This window comes from Homo sapiens, chromosome 13 (genome assembly GCF_000001405.40).
Source record: "Homo sapiens chromosome 13, GRCh38.p14 Primary Assembly".
Lineage (NCBI taxonomy): Eukaryota > Metazoa > Chordata > Mammalia > Primates > Hominidae > Homo > Homo sapiens.
The window spans coordinates 89,548,068-89,570,213 of record NC_000013.11 but is presented as its reverse complement, the minus strand read 5'-3'; the positions used below and the strand labels follow the sequence as shown (position 1 = coordinate 89,570,213).

General features: G+C 33.8%; 2 long non-coding RNA genes across 5 annotated transcripts, besides 2 other annotated features; one reads left to right on the top strand and one right to left on the bottom strand.

Annotated features, from left to right (window-relative positions):
• Positions 1 to 5,800: 5,800 nt before the first annotated feature.
• On the top strand, positions 5,801 to 21,420 carry LINC00353 (long intergenic non-protein coding RNA 353). Its single transcript, NR_046991.1, has 4 exons — positions 5,801 to 5,882; positions 16,419 to 16,483; positions 18,924 to 19,013; positions 21,003 to 21,420. It is a non-coding gene; the product is annotated as a long intergenic non-protein coding RNA 353 (long non-coding RNA).
• Positions 10,641 to 19,429, bottom strand: LINC02336 (long intergenic non-protein coding RNA 2336). 4 transcript variants are annotated; one of them, XR_931635.2, is made up of 7 exons: positions 19,242 to 19,429; positions 18,937 to 19,117; positions 18,498 to 18,655; positions 17,244 to 18,109; positions 14,263 to 14,355; positions 12,931 to 13,039; positions 10,641 to 10,761 (listed from the first exon to the last, which is right to left on the bottom strand). It is a non-coding gene; the product is annotated as a long intergenic non-protein coding RNA 2336 (long non-coding RNA). The 4 variants fall into 4 exon arrangements; XR_931634.2 differs by having other exon boundaries at positions 12,931 to 14,355; XR_007063933.1 differs by lacking the exons at positions 10,641 to 10,761; positions 12,931 to 13,039; positions 14,263 to 14,355 and having other exon boundaries at positions 16,590 to 18,109.
• Positions 18,307 to 19,506: an enhancer, noted in NCBI's record as "BRD4-independent group 4 enhancer chr13:90202962-90204161 (GRCh37/hg19 assembly coordinates)". NCBI's record gives its function as "activates an origin of replication core promoter dependent on BRD2, P300/CBP, MED14 and CDK7 cofactors, and independent of BRD4, by STARR-seq in HCT116 cells {active_cell/tissue: HCT116}" and the evidence as "EXISTENCE:reporter gene assay evidence [ECO:0000049][PMID:35650434]".
• Positions 18,905 to 19,199: a silencer, noted in NCBI's record as "tiled region #6759; HepG2 Repressive non-DNase unmatched - State 24:Quies". NCBI's record gives its function as "represses a minimal TATA promoter and a strong SV40 promoter by Sharpr-MPRA in HepG2 cells {active_cell/tissue: HepG2}" and the evidence as "EXISTENCE:reporter gene assay evidence [ECO:0000049][PMID:27701403]".
• Positions 21,421 to 22,146: the final 726 nt, after the last annotated feature.

Sequence of the window (22,146 nt, the reverse complement as noted above, 5' to 3'; positions counted from 1 at the left end):
TTTTATTTTATTTTATTTATTTATTTATTTTGAGATGGAGTCTCGCTCTTTCACCCAGGCTGGAGTGCAGTGGTGCCATCTCAGCTCACTGCAAGCTCCACTTCCTGGGTTCATGCCATTCTCCTGCCTCAGCCTCCCGAATAGCTGGGACTACAGGCGCCCGCCACCACGCCTGGCTAATTTTTGTATTTTTGGTAGAGATGGGGTTTCACTATGTTAGCCAGGATGGTCTCGATCTCCTGACCTCGTGATCTGCCCGCCTTGGCCTCCCAAAGTGCTGGGATTACAGGCTTGAGCCACCTCGCCTGGCCTTAATTTGGGATTTTAAGATGATGGATATTCAACCTGTACCTAAATCTTTGAAAGGGTAGTACAATTCCCTCTGAGAATCGAAACAGAAATGCTTCCTGAAAAAGAAGAAAAAGCATTCAGAGAATTATTTATATGCATTTTTATATATAGACTAACACAAAGATACTTGGAGGTAAAAGAAATCTGGGAAATTTTTATTGTTTTTGATTATTTTTAATGTTTATATTGGAGAGTCCCAAGAGATAAGTGTAAGGTGTTAATCCTTTTACTATGGGGAAAATGGACAGAGTTTGTGTACTCTAGCAATGACCAGAAGAAGAGACTGTTAATTTATATTCATATAGATGGACAGACTAGTAGGCTCAATGTAAACATTCAATAATTGTTAATGATTATGTTTGTTTTTTTTTACACTCTAGAACTAGGCAAACAAAGAGACAGAGTTCTCTTGCTCAAAGACAGAATAACAATAATGAGAATAGTGAGAAGAAGCACAGGCTAGTCAATAGCTACAGTGCAACCTGGTAAATGCTATAATGAAAGATCATAAGGATAGCTGTAATTGCATAGATCAGTAATTAAATATTTTGCCTAGGAGAATCAAGACAGGCGTCACTTAGAAATTCCACCTTGGTGTAATAACACTTAAAAGAATTAGCATGATCTCACTAAAGTCGGCTTGATCCTTAAATCCTTACACATTTAGGGATAAAAACAAAAAATCTGATATTATATATTTAGACATCAAAAATACATGTAATAACTTTAAATTTGCTTTTTTTGGTTTTTTACTTAATTGAAAGATTGAGTACCAATGTGATATGGTTAGGCTTTGTGTCTCCACCCAAATCTCATCTTGAATTGTAATCCCCCAAATCCCCATAATCTCCATGTGTCAAGGGAGAGACAAGGTGAAGGTAATTGAATCATGGGGGCGGTTTCCCACATGCTGTTCTTGAGATAGCGAGTGAGTTCTCAGAAGATCTTGTGGCTTAAGGGGGGTCTCTTCCCCCTTTGCTTGGCACTTCTCCCTCCTGCCATCTTGTGAAGAAGGTTCCTTGCTTCCCCTTTGCCTTTTACTATGATTATAATTTTCCTGAGGCCTCCCTAGCCATGTAGAACTGTGAGTCAATTAAAGCTTTTTCCTTTCTAAATTACCTAGTCTTGGGCAGTTCTTTTTGGCAGTATGAGAACAGATTAATACATAATGTATGCCATATATATATATATATATATATATATATATATATATATATATATGTATATAAAATTTGGCCTCAGTTTATATCTGCTACATACTTTCCAGAATGCTGTACTCTTAAAATTCCATTACTCATACTCACATACACACACACACACACACACACACACACACACACGTCTAATATTCATGTGGATTTTGCTGAGCAATATGCATGTTTTTAATTCTTAGCATGACCGCTAGAAGTTGCTGACAAAACAAAGCAGATTGAGAGGCTTTCAACTGTTTGTCTAAAGTTAAGGTTTATGTTTATCTTTCTGAGTTTCTTTTGCCAGCAGACATTTTATGGATCCTGTTCTAAGGAGGATCACACATTCATTTTTCTATTACAGATGAGAGAGAAATTTCATATTTTCACACAGTAGGATGAGCCTTAGACATTATAGCAGCACTGAAGCTTTATCAAAAGCATAATTTAAACAGCCAGACAAATATAAAATATATTTGTAAACACATTTGTAAATACACAAAAATATTAAACATTTGATACTCTAAACAGATTGAAAATTTCTACACAATAAAATTTTCTTAACACTAGTTACCTCTCTGATAAAATACATGAACAACTACATACAGTGTATTTCTTAAAAAATGTTGACTAAAATTTGAATGGATGGTTTCATAAATGTTCTTATGTCTGTAAGTAAGGTAGTTGTTTTCCTATTTTTATTAATTGAGGTGCTGTGTAATTATTTGGTGATGCCATCAGAGTCCATTCTTCTATACAAACTTTCAATAGTCCTGCATTAAATATTCCCTGCATACCTTGGTCACAGAATACTGCTTGTTTTTCATAAGTTAGTGTTTCACTTGTTCTGTTCTGTTTTGTTTTAATATTACTTCTACTTTTTACAGCAATTTCCTATAACTCCCTATATACAGGCATTCTCTTCTTATATGCTTATGGTCATTGTATCTAATGTAAAATCAGGAACTTATATGAGTTAAAAATATTCCTTCATGAATAAAATCCCTAAAGTCCAATGTGGACTATCATCAAGGGTATTTCAGGGTTTAGTAATATTTTTGCTTTATTATTAATTTTTAGATAATATCAGGATATACAATATCCACATCAATGAGTTCCAGAAAGGTAAGGACATATTTTAGAATATAGACTATGTGTAAACCCAGGTCAAGCTGTGTTTCAGATGGTTGAAAATAACTGAACAAATTTGGTAAAAAGAAGTTCTTGCTTATCTACTGCATCCTTTTCATTGATTTGAATCTTAGGAAATTTATCGAGTACATATTTTATAGTGTGCGAAGATAGTGTGCGAAGGCAGCTATGCATATCATCACATGCAATCCACAATATTCTAAACCTTTAAAATATATATTTTAAAAAGGCTAAGTATCTTGCCAATGTCAGGCAACTAGGATGTGGAAAATTGAAATTTGAATTTTTGCTGACTATAGACTTAATCATGTTTCATCAAGGGACACCCACATAATCTTTTTCTTTGCTAGTAATCATCTATGTCATAAGTGAAAGCAATTGCGTTAACAAATAATATTTTGTTTAATAAAAGAAATTAATGTATTTCTTAGAACTTTGGTGAATGCTAACTGACTTCACTTTTATTGCTTTAACTGTATCTGGATAAAAATAACCAAACTCATATATTCAACCTTTCAATTATGGGCTGATACCTACATAAAATGTAGTCAGTAGAGGTCAATTAAATTCCTGCTACTAAAAATAGAAACTTTTAATTCAAATGTAACATGAGACAAGTGGAACTAAAATAATATGTTACAGAAAAAGGGACTGACATACAGAGAGAGAGAGAGAAACTACAATGGAGAAAATATTAAGCTGTTTTTCAGAAAAGTTAGCTGAAAAGTTGGAAGAGGCAGATTTGTAATAAATATTTAAATTAGGTGAAATAAGGATTAAAAACTCACTGAAGAGAAATAATCTGTTTATCCTACCATATTAACCATTTACAGATATTTCAGTTAATTTTGAACAAAAATTTATATTGGGTCAGATAAGACAATTTTTGAGTTTTTAAACAAGTCTTTGAAAAAAAATCCAATACAGTAAATGACATAAATGCTTATTTAAGGGACAACCATACAGAAAAATACAAGTTATAATTCCAAGCTCACTGGATTTGTACTTTAAGATATTTCATGCAGAGAAATCACCCAAAATGAACACACAGGATGCATTATTTATATTATGGTTAAACTTGTTTATTGTTTAATAAGTATCTATTTTGGTTTTACCTTCTCCCTGATTTTTATGAACAAAAGTTGAATTTTAGCATTATAGAATGCACTTACAGATCTGAAAATCTAATTTATTAAACATTTTTCTTATTGGTTGACTATATATAATCTAAAACTAATTAAGACAAAAGTTAGGAGTACCTTATAAATAAAAAGTAATCATCTCCGCAATGAGCATTCTATACAAGTAAACTCAATATCAAAATATATTTTGAAAAATTGTAAGAGACAGGAATTAGAAACATTTAAGGAGTTAGTTGAATTTAGAGATGATTTTACAAGCCAAGCATTTATATTGCTTTATGACAAACAAATATTTTCAAATAAAAAAAATGCAGCCTGGCATTTTTATACAGATAAGAGTTTTGTATTCTACCATTTCAGCCATTCATGTGTAAATGAATTGCTTAAAGTGCTTAAAATAATTGAAAACAGATGAATATTTTGAGCATAATAAGCGTTCTCTCTTCAAATTTTTCTTCCCTAGAAAACCCTTACTTTGGGTGGGGGATGGGTAGAACTACAAAAGTATTCTTTAGTCTAGTTGAATACCATGCATTTGAAATGAACAGATCTGAATTAATGAGGTCATGAGGTCTAAATGAAATAATACAAGTCTCTCTGTGAATTTAAAACTGGATGAAAAACAGTTGCTAGGCCAATTTTTCCTCTAGACATAATAACCCTAACAAAGGTACTTGAAACTGGGCCTAGATGGTTTTTTAAAAACAGACTTCATTTTTAAGAGCAGTTTTAGGTTCACAGACAAATGAGGTAGAGGGTATAGTTTCCATACATCTCCTATTCCCACATATGCACAGCCTGCCCCACTGTCAACATCCTGCACCAAAGTGGCATGCTTGTTAGAATCAATTAACCTATATTGACACATCATTATCACCCAAAGTCCATAGTTTACAATAGGGTTAACTTATGGTGGTGTACATTCCATAGGCTTAGACAAATGTATAATGACATGCATTCACCATTATAGCATCATATAGGGTAGTTTCATTGATTTGAACATCCTCTCTGCTCCACTGATTTAACAATTTCTGCCTCATAACCACTGAGTTTTTTTTTGCTGTCTCTATAGTTTTGCCTTTTACTGATTGTCATATTGTTTGAATGATATAGTGCAATGTATAGCCATTTCAGATTGGCTTTTTTCAATTACTATCATGCATTTAAGTGTGAACTAAGAAGAGGTGGAAAACCAGACTGCAATGCAATAAGACAGGCATTTATTGCGGTCTTTGAAATTGTAATTCTGGAGGCACATATTTGTCCAAAGATCAAATTGTGTTCCGAAGAGACAGAGGGGAGTAGGAAATTTTAACAGTACACTGAGGGTAATTACACAAGTTGTTTTGAAAGAATTATCACTGGTGGAAGAACCTGGCTTAGTACATGAGTCCATAGTTCCTTGATTGTTGCTATTCAAGAGTTCCAGTGTTGGTGACATTCAGTTGTTTTTCAGGATGCTATGGTTGTTGCAGTTTGGCCCAGTTCAAAGTTTCAAGGCAAACTTCTGTTTTTTTTTTTGTTTGTTTGTTTTGTTTTTCTTTTTTGCAAGGTTACAAGCCATGCAGGTAATCCTTCTTAGAATGGCTTCTGAAATCTACTTCAGAACTCGGAACCTGCGTAACGCCATTTTGTACAGCACATTTTACAAAGGTTCCTCCATGTCTTTTCGTGACTTCATGGCTCATGTCTATTTAGCCCTGAATAGTACATTGTCTGGGTGTACTGCAGCTTATTTATCCATTCACTCTTTGAAGGATCTTAGCTGCTTACAAATTTTGACAATTAGGAAAAAGCTGCTATAAACACCATTGTGCAGTGTTTGTGTGCACATACAATTTCAAGTCATATGAGTAAATATCAAGTAGCATGATTGCTGGTTTGCACGGTAAAAGTATATTTAGTTTTGCAAGAAATTACCAAAATGTCTTCCAAAATGGCTGTACCATTTTTTGTTCCCAACAGCAATGAATGAGAGTTCCTATTGTTTCACCTGCTCGCCATCATTTGGTGTTTTCAGAGTTTGAAATTTGGGCCATTATAATGGGTATGTAGTGATATCTTAATATTGTTTTAATTTGCATTTCCCTAATGATGTATGATATTGTATATGTTTATTTGTCAACTTGGACTTTCTTTGGTGAGATATCTGTTTAGATCTTTTGTCTATTTTTTAAAATATCAGGTTGTTCCTTTCTTCTTATTGAGTTTTGAGAGTTTTTGTATATTTTGGATAACAGACCTTTATCAGATATATCTTTTACAAATAGTTTCCCTCAGTTTGTCAAGCCTTCATTTTTAAAATAAACAAAATTCCATAAACAAATGTCTAACTCTATAGAAAGCTAATTCTTGCCCTGGGTATTGTCTCTATTTCACAACATCTAACTGCATAAACTCCTTAAGTGTTCCCAAACTCTATGTGCATTCTGAGAATACACAATCTTCATTAGGTCAACTAATTTTTGTTTAATAAGCTGTGTTATTGATTAAATATCTTTTTTACACTGTCCTATGGAAACTCTAGGGGCCCTAAAAGGCTTTGATGTGAGCAGTGGGTTAGGAGAGATCTTTCTCCAAAGGGATATTGGAATTGACACTGGGTTAAAGACCCTAAGAGACTAGCTCTTGAATGACCTGGATGGATTATGTTAAATCGAGTAATCACTGTCAAGATATTGCCAAATGTCTACTGCTAAAATTTTCTGAAATTCTTTACTTGTGGGAATGCCAAATGTGTGACACAAAATTCTCACTTATTTGACCCCCAGACCCAAGGCGGGTATTTTAATTGAATAAAGTCATTTTGTCTGAACCAGGATGATGAATTTCTTCAGTTGAGTGCTCTAGGAAGCTGCTAGCAATAGTGAGGACAGCATGACAAAAATAAAATTTGTCATTCTCACTTGGCTACTAAAATTATCTCTGCTTTCCTTCATTAATTAATGTCCTCCACTTTTTCCTTATAAACATATAAAAACAAAAAGGAGTAGATCCTTGTTTTACATATTTGAATTTCTTTTTTCCCCACTGTTAATAACAGGAAAATTTACCACCCTTATAGCATTCATTCATTTCTGAATGAAATACCTAGATTTTACCACCTAACTGGCACTGCTGTAGACAGTGGTATGTGACCATCAACAAGCACACAAAATTTACTACTTTCACGATGCTTACTTTCCAACTGGGGAGAGTGAAGATGAATAAATAGAATATTTAGTGTATTAAAGAATAGCAAATTCTAAAAGTAAAATTGAAACGTGAAATGTGGACAGGGAATGTGTATGAAGGAGGGTGGGGTGTCACACATGTGGGTTGCAATCTTAGGTAGCGTGACCAAAAAATGCAACATTGAGAAAATGACTTTGGAGTAAATATCTGGATGAGGAGTTTTGATTTGAAGCAGAAGAAAAACAAGTGCTTAAAGCCCTGCTGTACATAGCCTGAGATATTCAAAGAACAGTGAGGCGTCCAGTTAATTGGAGAAGAGCAAGCAAGAACATAATTTGAGATGCTAGCAGATAGCATTTTGCATTTCCTTCACGCCTTTCTATAATTATTTTATTGAATTATTTTAGTAGCTTTTTAACATAGTAGGTATGAGTATGCCACTTTACACAGGTGAAGACAGAATCAAAATGTGCTATGCTTTATCTAATGTCTAACAACTAGCAAATTGCAGCATTCCCCCGGAGATGTAAATTTTTGGGATACAAATTCATCACAAATTCTGTTACAGTACAAATGCCACTTCATGACTAAAGAAATAACTAACATCTAAAATGAAAACTATCCTGCCATGTAGTGTCCCTGGCACCTAATTCAAAACAGCATGCAGGCCACATCTTCCAAGTAAAATCATTATTTTAGCAGCTTCCGTCAAGCTGGGCCTCTTATTTGTGGTTTTGTTCATCCATGCCAATGTTCTACTTGATATATATGTCAATGAACTAGAGGAAAATTTTCACTTATGTGCAGTGTATTCTCAAAGATAAATTTTTAAAAAATGGAGTGAATGCTCATCAAATTACAGATTTTTTTCCTAAGAGAAATTTGAATCACAATTGATCTCAATTACAAAATAAACAGCATTTACACTGTAGATATTATCTTTAGTTTTTGTCTTTTCTTAATACCTAATACAAAGCAGATGGTTGAAGTTCTATGAATGTTTCATTTGAACATAACATTTAGCAGCTTTTTACACCATTAATTATTTACAAATTGGTTTCAATTTAATCCAATTTGTAACATTTTTATTTTTCTCCAAAAGAACAAATAATTTTAATTTTTTCTCTCTTTAACAAAGTAGCTAGAAACCATCCTCTAGGATTGCCTATAGGGAATAATCAACCACAGATAAATATATAATTCCCTATTACTAGGAAACTTGGAAATTGCTGTAGTAAAGTTGCCTATTTGAGAAACAACTATAAAAATTCATCAATATCTGAAATCTAGAGGAATTTGCCCTTGTATCTTTTGATTTGGGGTTCATGTTACAAAACCCATGTTGATTTTCTCTGTTCACAAAATGTTAATACATATGGGTAAATTTCCTGGTCATCTGACACAAGTCTTTTCCTGTAAATCATTTTTTAGCAATTGAGTAGGATGACTGCCTCTACCTTTGAGCTGCCACATGGAGCACCCAAAATAAATTTTCCATATACGTTAAAACGTATGTTTAAATAAGATCATTTTTTCATTTTAGTTTTTATATTTTTTAACTCTTATTTTAGATTTGGGGGTACATGTCCAGGTTTGTTGTATGTAGGTAAACTCATGTCAAGGAGGCTTGATGTACAGATTATTTCGTCACCCAGGTACTAAGCTTAGTACTCAATAGCTATTTTTCCTGTTCCTCTCCCTCCTCCCACCTCCACCCTCAAGGAGGCCCCAGTATCTGTTGTTCCCTTCTTTGTGTTCATGAGCTGTCATGATTTAGCTTCCACTCATAAGTGAGAACATGCACTATTTGTTTTCTGTTTCTGTATTAGTTTGCTAAAAATAAGGGCCTCCAATTCCATCCATGTTCCCAGAAAAGACACAATCTCATTTTTTATGGCTGCATAGTATACCATGGTGCAAATGTATCACATTTTCTTCATCCAATCTGTCACTGATGGGCATTGAGATTGATTCTATGTGTTTGCTATTGTGAACAGTGCTGCAGTGAACATACATATACATGTGTCTTTATGGTGAAATGATTTATATTCCTCTGGGTATAAACCCAGTAATAAGATGGCTGGGTTGAATGGTAGTTCTGTTTTTAGCACTTTGAGGAATCGCCACACTGTCTTCCACAATGGATGACCTAATTTACACGCCCACCAACAGTGTATACTTGTTCTCTTTTCTCCACAACATTGCCACTTGCCAGCATATGTTATTTTTTGAATTTTTACTATTAGCCATTCTGACAGGTGTGAGATGGTATCTCATTGTGGTTTTGATTTGCATTTCTCTAATAATAAGTGATATTCAGCTTCTTTTCATATGATTTTTGGCCGATGTATGTCTTCTTTACAGAAGTGTCTGTTCATTTCCTCTGCCCACTTTTTAATGTGTTTTCTTTTGTTATTTGTAAATTTAAGTTCCTTATAGATGCTATATTAGAACTTTGTCAGATGCATAGCTGCAAATATTTTCTCCCATACAGTACGTTGTCTGTTTACTCTGTTGATAGTTTCATTTGCTGTGCAGAAGCTCTTAAGTTTAATTAGATCCCATTTGTCAATTTTTTGCTTTTTTTTTGCAATTGCTCTTTGGTGTCTTTGTCATAACTCTTTGCCTGTTTCTGTGTCCTGAATGATACTACATAGGTTGTCTTCTAGCATTTTTATAGTTTTGGGTTTTACATTTAAGTATTAAATCCATCTTGTGTTGATTTTTGTACATGGTGTAAGAAATGGCTTCAGTTGTAATCTTCTGCATGTAGCTAGCCAGTTAACCCAACACTGCTTATTGAATAGGGAGTCTTTTCCCCGTTTCTTGTATTTGTCAGCTTTGTGGAAGATCAGATGGTTGTAGGTGTGTGGACTTATTTCTAGGCCTCTATTCTGTTCCATTTGTCTATGTGTCTGTTTTTGTCCTAGTACCATGCTGTTTTAGTTAGTGTAGCCCTGTGATATAGTTTGAAGTTGGGTAACAAGATGCCGCCAGTTTTGTTCTTTTTTCTTAAGATTGTCTTGGCTATTTGGGCTCTTTTTTTATTCTATATGAATTTTAAAATAGTTTTTTTTTTTTCTGGTACTATGAAGAATATCATTGGTAGTTTGATAGGAATAGCATTGAGTCTATAAACTGCTTTAGGTAGTATGACCATTTTAATGATATGTATAGGATATCTTTCTATCCAGGAGCAAAGAATTTTTTTAAAATTTGTTTGTGTCATCTCTGATTTCCTTAAGCAGTGTTTTACAGTTCTCATTGTAGAGATACTTCACCCTCCTGGTTAGCTGTATTCCTAAATATTTTATTCTTTTTGGGCAATTGTGAATGAGATTGAATTCCTGATTTGGCTCTCGGCTTGGTTGTTGTTGCTGTATAGGAATGCTAGCAATTTTTGTATTCTGAGACTTGCTGAAGTTGTTTATCAGCTTAAGAAGCTTTTGGGCTCAGACTATGGTGTTTTCTAGATATAGAATCATGTCATCTGCAAACAGGGATAGTTTGACTTCCTCTCTTACTATCTGGACATCCTTTCTTTCTTTCTCTTGCCTAATTGTTCTGGCCAAGACTTCTAATACTATGTTAAATAGGAGTGGTGAGAGATGGCATCCTTGTCTTGTACTGGTTTTCAAGAAGAATGCTTCCAGCTTTTCCCCATTCAGTATGATGTTGGCTGTGGGTCTGTCATAGATGGTTCTGAGATCAATTAAAACGTATTACCCAAATATGTTGAAAATCTACCGAGGCTTTTTCCATTGATGGGCAAAAGAAAAAAGATAAAAGGTCTATTTACTTTATGAACTGTAGCAAAATGTAATAGAATATTAAAATTACCCCATACATTATGTGTAAATAGGAAGCGCTTAGGAAATTCACAAAATATACTATCTGAAAACAATTCCACAGCTTAAATATTTTACTTACATATTGAATAATCAGAGAAAGTTTTAGGATATCAGTGCATAGTGTATCAAATCTAATGTCATTCAATATGTAAAATGCAAAAACTACATCTATCTTATTTTTATTCTTTTGACAAATTTTTGATCCATGATCATTGGTTAAAATATTTTAAGAACTAGGCATTTTGTCAAGTGATAGAGATTAAGAATATAGGTTAAAATAACAAGTATATAAAATAAGTATCTCATAATTCTACAGAATATTCACATAACTCTTATCTCTCGATTTTGGTGCTTTTATCTACCTGGGGGAGTTTTGCTTTTTCCTTGCCTGGCTTTTTTTGGGGAGGAGGCAGGTGGGACAGAATCTTGATCACTGCAACCTCTGCCTCCTGGGTTTGAGTGATTCTTGTGGCTCAGCCTCCCTAGTAGCTGAGATTAAAAACCTGTGCCACTATACCCAGCTAATTTTTTCTCCTCAAGTGATCTGTGTGCCTTGGCCTCCCAAAATGATGGAATTACAGGTGTAAGCCACTGTGCTCAGTCACATATTTCTATAACATTTTAAAAGAACTTTCTGGATTGAGTTAGTTCTCATTCCTATATGTCACTTTAGGAATCTGTGTGCTAGTGCTCAGGATAGTTATCAGATTGAAATTGTCTATTCCTTTTTTTGATTAGACCGGTACATTTTTGCACTTGGTTTATTGTTCACCAATGTGGTCCAGAAGTCAAAAAGAATCTTTAATATACTATAGGTATTTTTTAAATTATATTAATCAAATAACACAAATTAAAAGCTATATTTTGGTAGATATTGTAGAGCAATAGAAATAGTTACAAAAAGCCTTTTATAGATTTGACAGTATAAAATGACACTAGTAATACAACATGTTGCATGATATTTTGCAGCATACAAAAATGCTGATATAAAATGAGGATGCTCTAAGCAAAAATGGGTAGAATTTCTTTGTGGATTTTTGTTTGTTTTTGTTTTGTTTTGTTCTTCTTTTTGAAACAGAATCTTGCTCTGTCACCCAGGCTAGAATACAGTGGCACCATCTCAGCTCACTGCAACCTCTGCCTCCTGGGTTCAAGCAATTATCCTGCCTCAGCCTCCCAAGTAGCTGGGATTACAGGCATGTTCCACAATGCCCGGCTAATTTTTGTATTTTTAGTAGAGATGATATTTCACCATGTTTGCCAGGCTAGTCTCAAACTCTTTAACTCAGGTGATCTCCCTGCCTCAGCCCCCAAAAGTGCTGGGATTGCAGAAATGCAACACCGCGCCCAGCCTGTTTTTAAAATATAATTGAACATTGATATATTTAACAGAGAGTTATTGCTTTCTTAATAAAAATAACTTAAAATTGCATGAACACATATTATAAATATCCCTCACACATCTTCCTAATAATAAAAACAAATAATATAAACATTTATTTCATGCAATTATAATTAAATTACATTTATCCCTGATTTAATATTGATTCCTTTAAACATATTATGTAATAATTAAGTTTAAGAATCTCATTACAACATTGCAACAATTAAAAGACTCTTATGTGTAATCTATGTTCCTAGGCCTATAAGTTATCAAAAAAGTAAATGAAAATTTATCATTGTTAAATATGACAATAAGTGGTCAATATGGCAAAATGGCAATTATATGAATGAGGCAATTGAGAATTAGGCGAACTTAAAGGAAACTAAGGAGTATCCTTTAACCAATAACCTCCTTGAAGACAGAAGCTGTACCATGCTCATTCTAATTGTAGTTACAATCATGTTGCCTATCACATTAGAAATAATACATATTTGTTAAAATGATTTATGAAATTTTAATTGATTTTCCTAATGATTCGGATGGTATGTAGTATGAACACACATGATTCCCTGTCTGCTTTTTTTCAGCTGTTTTTGGTATTTGACGTGAGCCTCCTTCCAAAGAATAAAGAAAGAATGGAAACAAATGAAAACATTATGGCTAACATTCAAAAGATATGCCATTACCTAAAGTTGTGTAAGCTAACCGGAAAGAGATCCTGTGCCTGTCCGACTTTATTGTAACACTGCAAATATTAATGCCAGTGTTCAAGAGGGCATGGGCAGGAATGGAAACCTACAAAGGTAAAGGGCATATCACATATTTAGGAAGGAAAGGCTATGCTTATGTTAAAAAGGTTTCATTGGACTAATTCTATGTTAAACAACTTAGATCCCAAAGTAAAACAGTATACAGAGTAAGAATGTACTAGGGATGTCAGCACAGGTCATCTGGTAATGGTGACAGAAATACAATTCAATTTATTTGGGTTTATTACATATTAATATTGATGTGCTGCTTTTATGTGTCTGTCTTTTTACTTTCATGTATCTGGTTCTGAAACAATCTGATTTTTAAAACTAACAATAACGTGTGCTGAGCCTGCCTGATGAAGGACTGACCCTGAAATGTAGCACATTCTCTAAGGTAAAGAAGACCATCTGTGAGTCCACTTAAGACATAGCCAAGCTATGTTCTACTAGATTGGAAACAAATGACATTTCTTATGTGAAATATCTACACGAGGTATCATCAATATGCGTTCTTCCTGGTTTTATGTTTTCAGTCCGTTGTCCAAGAAGATAATTTATATAGCATTCATAATTGTATCTCCCATAATCTATAGACTTTTAGCTCACTATGTGGGTTCCTTTCATTAGGGTTACATACCCTTGTTCTGAGAACCATGATCCAGGCACTAAAAGCATCCTTGTTTAATAATGCCCAGAATGACTATTTATAAATAATGTTTTTTAGACAAGAAGAGTAAACTATAAGTATTTGAGGTGAAGGATATGTTCATTAGGATATGTTAATTTTACATTGTATACATATATCATAGCATCACTTTGTACTTCATAAACAATTATAATTTGCCAATATAGAATAAAATAAAAAATAAAAGAAAAATGGCAAATCATAATATAATGACAACTATGAATCTTTTATGGATAACAATACAAAAATGTTGAAAGCACCTGAATAAAATTATCATGTAAACTCCCACATTTCTTCACTTTAGTTATTTAAGAACACTTAGGCAATGGCATCTTTTGTATTCTTGTCTGTCCTCCTTTTGCTCATTCTTATTCAACTGATATTCTTCAGTAAACCTTGTGCTGCATTTATCCTAGAGCATTCTCATTTGTGTCACTTCCTTAGATTAGATGCTTGCTAAAAACCAACGAAGATTCCTAATCTTTGCATAATATCAAGTCAAAGCTTACTTTCTCCACAAAGTCTTCATTGATGAAGCTCCTCAGGAAGTTTGCTTTCCTCCAATACAATTTTCTACTTACCTATAACTTGTGGCTATCTTCTCTTTCTATTTTCTTGGCGCTAATTTTTGTTTTACTGCCTGCTATTGATGTTTTGCTTTTATTACTTTGCATCTGAATAAAATGATAGAGGGGACATTATTATTTTTATTGGACAAAGGATATTTCAAATTAGGTACCAATTGGGAACACACTTCTCTGTTAACATAAAAATACATACCATTTAACTTCCTCTGTAAAATTCTATTCAATTTACATGAATTTTATTTGAAAAATGTGAGTTATAGTGCTCTATATTAGAAAATAGTAAAAACTCAAATACATTAATTAGGAATTATGTTTTTAAGGAAATGGACTTTTGTGCAATAATGCAATGATACACAGATTATTTCTAACAGTATTCTGCTTTTTTCTGAATTATAAGTTACTTGATTATTACTAATGTAATTGAACTAGTTGGCTTGTGAAAAGAATATGAAAAAGCAAGAAGATTACTAGTTTTTGAGTATCTATAATGTACAAGACATGAGCTAGGTTAATATATATATATGTATTTGATTAATTTTTCCTTAAATTTCTCAAGGTAGGGATTTTTACTACATTTTTAAATGCCATTTTTTGTTTAGACAACGTCCTCTTACAGGACTTCATTTTCCAAGCAATAGCATATGTTAAAGATTAGGTAGAAGAGTGGGTAAATTTACTTAGTTCTCTGTTGCCCCATGGGCACGTGAGCTGAAAACATATTTTTTAATCTACACATTACCTAGCTTCTTTGACTTGAAAGAGTTGAAATAAATATATAACATGAATGTTCATTTTTTTACACTAGTTATAGCTCACTAAATCTTAATAAATGAAGTCTGCTGTTAATGTTAGCAGAATATATACCTTATCTCCTTAAGTCAACATTGCTGGACTATTTCATGAGTTTTGAATACCCAACTTCACATTTGAAACAGCATTAGTCAACAAAAGCATCCACTTATCAAGACACTTTAGGTTTGCAACATATGTTCATTATTTACCTTCCTAAGCACTCAGCTTCTTTCAAAGGCCCTGACAAGCCAAATAAACCAGTTATTCCTCATGCAGGAGAATGTGTGAGCATGGCTTTTGTTCTTTCAATTGCAAGAGATACGTGGAAAAAAAGATTTCTTGAGAGATTTGTGAGGTGCAGGTTTTATTTGATAATCAGACACCACTTTAACTGAATGGAAAAGAAATGTACAGCACTTTCTATCGTTTATGCAATCTTTTTGCCCTCTTTATCCCAAAATGAGCAGTAAAATTAATTGAGGAATTCATAAAGTTAATTAAGAAGTTCATAAAGATGGCATGGCAAAGGCTTTTGACTTCAGTTGTTTTCAATTCTGGAGTAATGAATAATTCTAATGTACTCAAATATTTTTTAACTGGTGATAATTATTAGTATTTATTTGTGTTCTAAAAGTTGGTTTATTTTCACGTTTGTTGGTAGGTTTAAAAGGGCACGCATTTGTCAGTGATCACATTTTACAGAGTGCCGAGGACCAGGCTATATAATTTGGTTTATTGAAAGCCAGCAGGACACCGTGTAATTTTAGAAGCTCAATGTGCTATTGTTGATGACTATTATGATGATGGTTGATGTATTTTTTTTATTATCTGTACAACACTAATAATATCTTATTGCTTTAATTTTTCAATGCAACAAAATAAATGTTAACAGACAGCCATATGGAATACATTATATTATGTACAATATGTGCAAAAACATTTACAAAGTATCTTTTTTTGGAGACGGAGTCTTGCTCTGTCCCTTAGGCTGGAGTGCAGTGGCGCGATCTCAGCTCACTGCAAGCTCCACCTCCCGGGTCCACGCCATTCTCCTGCCTCAGCCTCCCGAGTAGCTGGGACTACAGGTGCCCGCCAACACGCCCGGCTAATTTTTTATATTTTTAGTAGAGATGGGGTTTCACCGTGTTAGCCAGGATGGTCTCGATCTCCTGACCTCGTGATCCGCCCGTCTCGGCCTCCCAAAGTGCTGGGATTACAGGCATGAGCCACCGTGCCCGGCCTACAAAGTATCTTAAAAATTAAAAATAACAAAATAATACATAGATCTAACAACATACTGAAAAAACAAATATACTCTCAAGGCATGAACTTTATTGTTTTTGCTATTTTTATTATAGAGTATCTGTCTCTTGGCTTCCTGAGAATCTGTCGTGATTAAATAGTGAATGAAAGAAACTGAATGGTATGTAATTGGCTTTTTCAAATAAAGCTAATTAGAAGTAAAGTAGCCACGTAGCAATGGATGAACATTGTAATTAAAAAGAATTGCACAGATAATCTTATGAAAATTGCAGAGATAAGGGTAGATATTTATTGTTGATGAAATAATAAGCCAGGGCTGAATTTCAGTTTTTGAGTCTCATAAGAGTAATATAGTTCTAAACAAAATATTTCTCTTTTAGCATTTTAAAAGTTATTATGCAAATATACATATAAATAATATTAATTAAATTATTTATAATTATTAGTAATTTGCTTTATTGAGTAGGTGTACAAAATGATTTTCATCAATTAAAAAAGCATGCAAGGAATTGATTTTTCAAAACAACTAAAATTCTACTCAAGCTAATAGCTTCCATTTAATACCATGAATACCTAGAAATATTTTCTCCTCAGCTTTTTGACTCTGCATGACAGATAGCTTTGTCAATTTAACTTTTTCGACACACATTTTCGATGTCGTGACACTACTCTCTGAGGGCTAAACTATGTGGAGATAAGTTATTTTAGAATATTTAAAAGATACCTTAAAATCACAATATTGCCTTTTTAAAATAGTTTATTGAAGGCATCTTAAAAATGATAAGGCACTAAATTTGCATTGTATTTTAGCCTAAGTATTAGCTTTAGAAAGTTCTTGGGCTAGGAGGCTGATCACCTCACACATCCTGGAAATATTTAATTAGCTCCTCTCCACCACACCCCTAAGAGCAATTCCTTACCATTCTAAATGCACAGATGCAACTTGGAAATGCACAAGAAGAAAAGATAGGGCATAAAGGCTTCTTTGCTGGGCACCTCTAACATGAGGATCTCAAGTGCCAAGGGCCTAGTTTTGATAATATGGGAAGAAATAGAAGAGAGTAAGTGTATTTCATCTCTAGACACCTCTTGCTCACTGTTGCCGGGAAATGTTACAGACTTTGCATCATTTGTCTGTATGTGTCATTTCATTCATTTTAAAACTCCCTTTAACAGATCTAATTTTTTTAATTGAGAGGTAAAAAGTGGATATATTTTCAGTGTACTTATCTGATTTTTTAAAACGTGTAAACATGACTATCAATAATGTAGTAAACATTGACTCTTTTCTTCTTATATATTCATATACCTAATACTTCCTAGTAATGTTCTAGTTCAGTTTTTAACTTTTTCTCTTATTATTTTGTCTTTTGTTGATACTTTATACTTTCATATTACTTTATCTATTAAAATATATTTAAAATTTATTCATTTAAAAATCGTATTATATAATTTAAGCACAATATAATATTTAACAAAGTAATAAAATTGATTCATAATAATTATCTTATCAAATTTAAAGAAAGAGGCTATATATAAGAAAACAGTACATATTCTATATGAGAAAGGCAGGGCTTGCTCTTGCTCAAGGCCTGTTTCTAGGCCATGAGACATCTTTCTATAAATTAGAAAAATGGTTCTTTTTATGGATGGATCCAGCTCTGCAACTAGAAATCTTAATGAATAGATAGCGCTTTATGTGCAGGAAAATGGTACTGGATGCATGACTTGAAGTACAGCACACAAGCTTCATTCCATCTCCTTTACTCCCCTTGGTCAGGAACCTCTGTGTAATGCAAAATTCATACATATATATGATCATATTGCTTGTAGCACTCCTTCTAACCTCTCTATAGCACAAAATTAGTTTAATTTAAAAGTAAAAGTTAGAAATAATGTCACAAAATTACTTCAACTGCAAGACATATTAGTTTGTCAGGCCAAAATTTCTACCCATATCCAACTATCCAACTATACATATTAATTCCTGCAACTTGCCTTTGCAAATGCAAAATAACTATGCTTCTTTCCATGGCAACCCCTCTGAACTGAGACAACAATCTCTTTATATCTCATTTACTAAATGTCCTTTAAAATATGTAGAAGCACATAAGCTTTCTGTAAAAACCTTAGCACAAAACGAAATAGAAAGTAGAATGTGTTCACGAACTTACTTCTCGTTATCAGCCCGAATTTAGTCTATGGAAGCCAACAGGTATTTGAACTTTCTTAGTGCAACTCTCAGAGAAACAACACAAGAGTGTGACATAATGGGCACTAGAATCACATTTCCAACAATTTTGTAAGTTTCCTATTCTCCTGGGTACGTCCCCTTAAACAAACAAAAAGTATTTAATTCACTTCCATCCAAACAAATTAAGAAAACAAGTTTCCTCTGGACTTTGCCTCATTTTGTTCTACAAATCTCTTCCAAAATTAAAACCTCTTATGACAGATATATACCCCCTTATTTTACATGGTATTACTCTTGGAATTCTATCTATAACCCTCATGATAGATGTATTACATTCCTCTCAAACTACTTGCATTTCCCTCAACTTTTGATGTTATCTCAATGAATTCTTTTCTTGCTATTCTAGGAATTTTCTGTACCATTGTGCCCAGAATTGGTTCCTTCCGGTGGGTTCTTTGTCTCGCTGACTTCAAGAATGAAGCTGTGGATCCTCGTGGTGAGTGTTACAGTTCTTAGAGATGGTGTGTCTGGAGTTTGTTCCTTCAGACGTTCAGATGTGTCCAGAGTTCCTTCCTTTGGGTGTGTTCATGGTCTTGCTGACTTCAGGAATGAAACCACAGACCTTCACAGTGAGTGTTACAGCTCTTAAAGGTGGCATGTCTGAAGTTGTTTGTTCCCCCCCTGGGTGGGTTCGTGGTCTGACTTCAGGAGTGAAGCTGCATACCTTCACAGTGAGTGTTACAGCTCATAAAGGTAGTACAGATCCAAAGAGGGAGCAAAATGTACTGTGAAGAGTGAAAGAACAAAGCTTCCACAGCGTGGAAGGGGACCGGAGTGGGTTGCCACTCCTGGCTCTGGTGGCCAGCTTTTATTCCCTTATTTGGCCCTGCCCACATCCTGCTGATTGGTCCATTTTACAGAGTGCTGATTGGTCCATTTCACAGAGTGCTGATTGGTTCATTTTACAGAGTGCTGATTGTTGAGTTTACAATCCTTTAGCTAGACACAGAGCACTGATTGGTGTGTTTTTACAGAGTGCTGACTGCTGCATTTACAATCCTCTAGCTAGACAGAAAAGTCTGGAAGTCCCCACTCGACCCAGGAAGTCCAGCTGGCTTCACCTCTCACCATTTCTCATTTCTCCATTGAAATATTTCAAAATGCCCTGTCCTGTAGCTGCCTGTGAGGTTGTAAACATCAATTCAATAACATTTATAAAGAACTTACAATGTAGAGGCCTTATGCCAAAGTGTCTTTCATATTTAACAACCCAGGCAACAACAGCAACATCATCAAGAATAAATATTATCATTTACTCTTAATCCTTTCTAGGTAATGCCCCACTTCTTTTGATCATGCCTGACATATAGAAAAAAAAAATGTGACTCTCTAAATTCCAATTCTTTTCTGCTCTCAGTGCTATATGTACAACCCAGCTAATCTCCAAAGTTTATATCCAAAGTTCACATTTCATTCTTTATTTGCTTCGATCACTTAGAATTTTGATAATAACATTCTCTTATGAAATGCTTTTCTTTGTTGCCATGACACTAGTCTCTCTGAGTCTTCTTTATATGATGAAACTTTACTACCCATGATCCAACAGACTAATTTTCCTTTACTTACGTTTAAATCATTTTTGCACTAGGTTATTTCTTAAACCCTCTTGCCTCTTCATATTCGTGTTCTCTTCTTGTGTACTCCAAAAAGAATGTCAATAATCATGAGCACAGAGAAAACCCTGTTTTCTCTCTTTGCACATTTCAAAAAGAGTAAGAACAATCAGGCATGCTATAGTAATTTTGTGTTTATTGGTTAATATTTGAAGTGTTTAATAAGAATTATTTAAAATGGTTACTCCCATCGGTATGTCTTTATGGTTATCTATAGGAATTATACTAACCATGAAGGTTTTATACAAGGATACAATTCTCTACTTTTTAATGAGTTCTTGTCTTTCCTAACAGTTGTATTGGCAGTGATTAATTTTAGTTTATTTCCCATATTAAATATAGATTGTGCATTTCAAAAGAGAAATGCTTAGTATCTCAAATGTTGGCCACTCACCCTTAGGTACTCATTTATTTTCTGCTTCTGCAGATTACTGAATTGGCTAATTACTTCAAAGCACTATGTCAAGAATTCATTTCTGTTAAATGCTGATAATGTCTGAGTAGCAATAAGCGTTTATCTACAAGATGTTTTTGTAGAATCAAAATGCCCTATATGTGTCATTTCATAACAAATAAAAGAAAAAAAATAAAATCCCAAAGCTCTTAGTGATAGTATAAGTTCCTCTGTCTACAGTGGCCTTGATTATGACAGCATGGATTAACAATCACCAAAGCCAGATATAAATTATAATTGATGAAATAAAGACAGCTGGTTCATGAATATAAGAACATAAGAGTTGGGCATTGACTGATTGGAGTGACATTTTTTGGATTAAAAAATTTATAAAATTTTTATTTTTTCTTTGCTTCAGAGAACAGAGAAAAACTGTTTTCTGAAAAGCAATTCTGCAAAAACATTGACATTAACAAAAAACACACCTGCTTGGAAAAGAGGATAACATGTTGGACAATGGTTAAATTATATTTACTTTGATATGTCTCTGGAGGTTAAATCAATACCTGTATGAAGCTTGAAGTTCACATTTATTATGGAGGGCACTTGTAAAAGTGTATCTGAAGCCTGTAAGAGCCAGAAGGACTCAGTCATATGCTGCCTTCTGTGCCTGATGTTTTCTTTTGAACTAGGGAGAGACGTGAACATACAGTCTGTTATTGTAGTTTATGCACAAAGACTCAAATAAGAAAGATGTGGGTGTATGTATAAGAAAAGGTTTAGAAAACTTGGCATATTTTCTATGAATGTTAAGAACTTGTATTACTGTAATTCTGTAAGTCTAAATGCAATCGAAGGACACAAACATCTCTATGTATAATGAGATTAACTGAAACATAATTGAACAAAACTGGAAATAAAGAAAAATCTATCAAATAATTAAGAAATAATGCTATTTTCTTCTAATGAAGTCATAATGTTCTCTCATTTTTAAATTCAGAAAGTAGTAACTCCAATATAAAGCACCTATAGCAGCAATCTCAGGCACTTCATTACCTGACATAATACCTTACAGTATAAAACTGTTGAGATCTAAAAATATGCAACAAGTTAAATCTGCATCCTTATTTAAGACAGTATTAAAATCATGACATTGAAAAGAATAATAATATGATATGACATGACATAATGTGATGTGATATGACATACATAATATAAAATAATATAATATATCATATCTTACTCCACATTTTGGGTTACTTGCGGAATGCTAGTATTGAACTTGGGTTGAATTCTTTGGAACAGAATGATATGGCTCAGAAAGAAAGGGAGTTAAACTAAATCCAGCGACAATCTCAGGCATTCCAGGATGAGATATTATATGATTAAAAATACAGAATTTGCCGAGGCGGGTGGATCACGAGGTCAGGAGATTGAGATCATGCTGGCTAACACGGTGAAACCCCGTCTCTACTAAAAATAAGAATAAAAAATTTAGCCAGGTGTGGTGGCACGTGCCTGTAGTCCCAGCTACTTGGGAGGCTGAGGCAGGAGAATTGCTT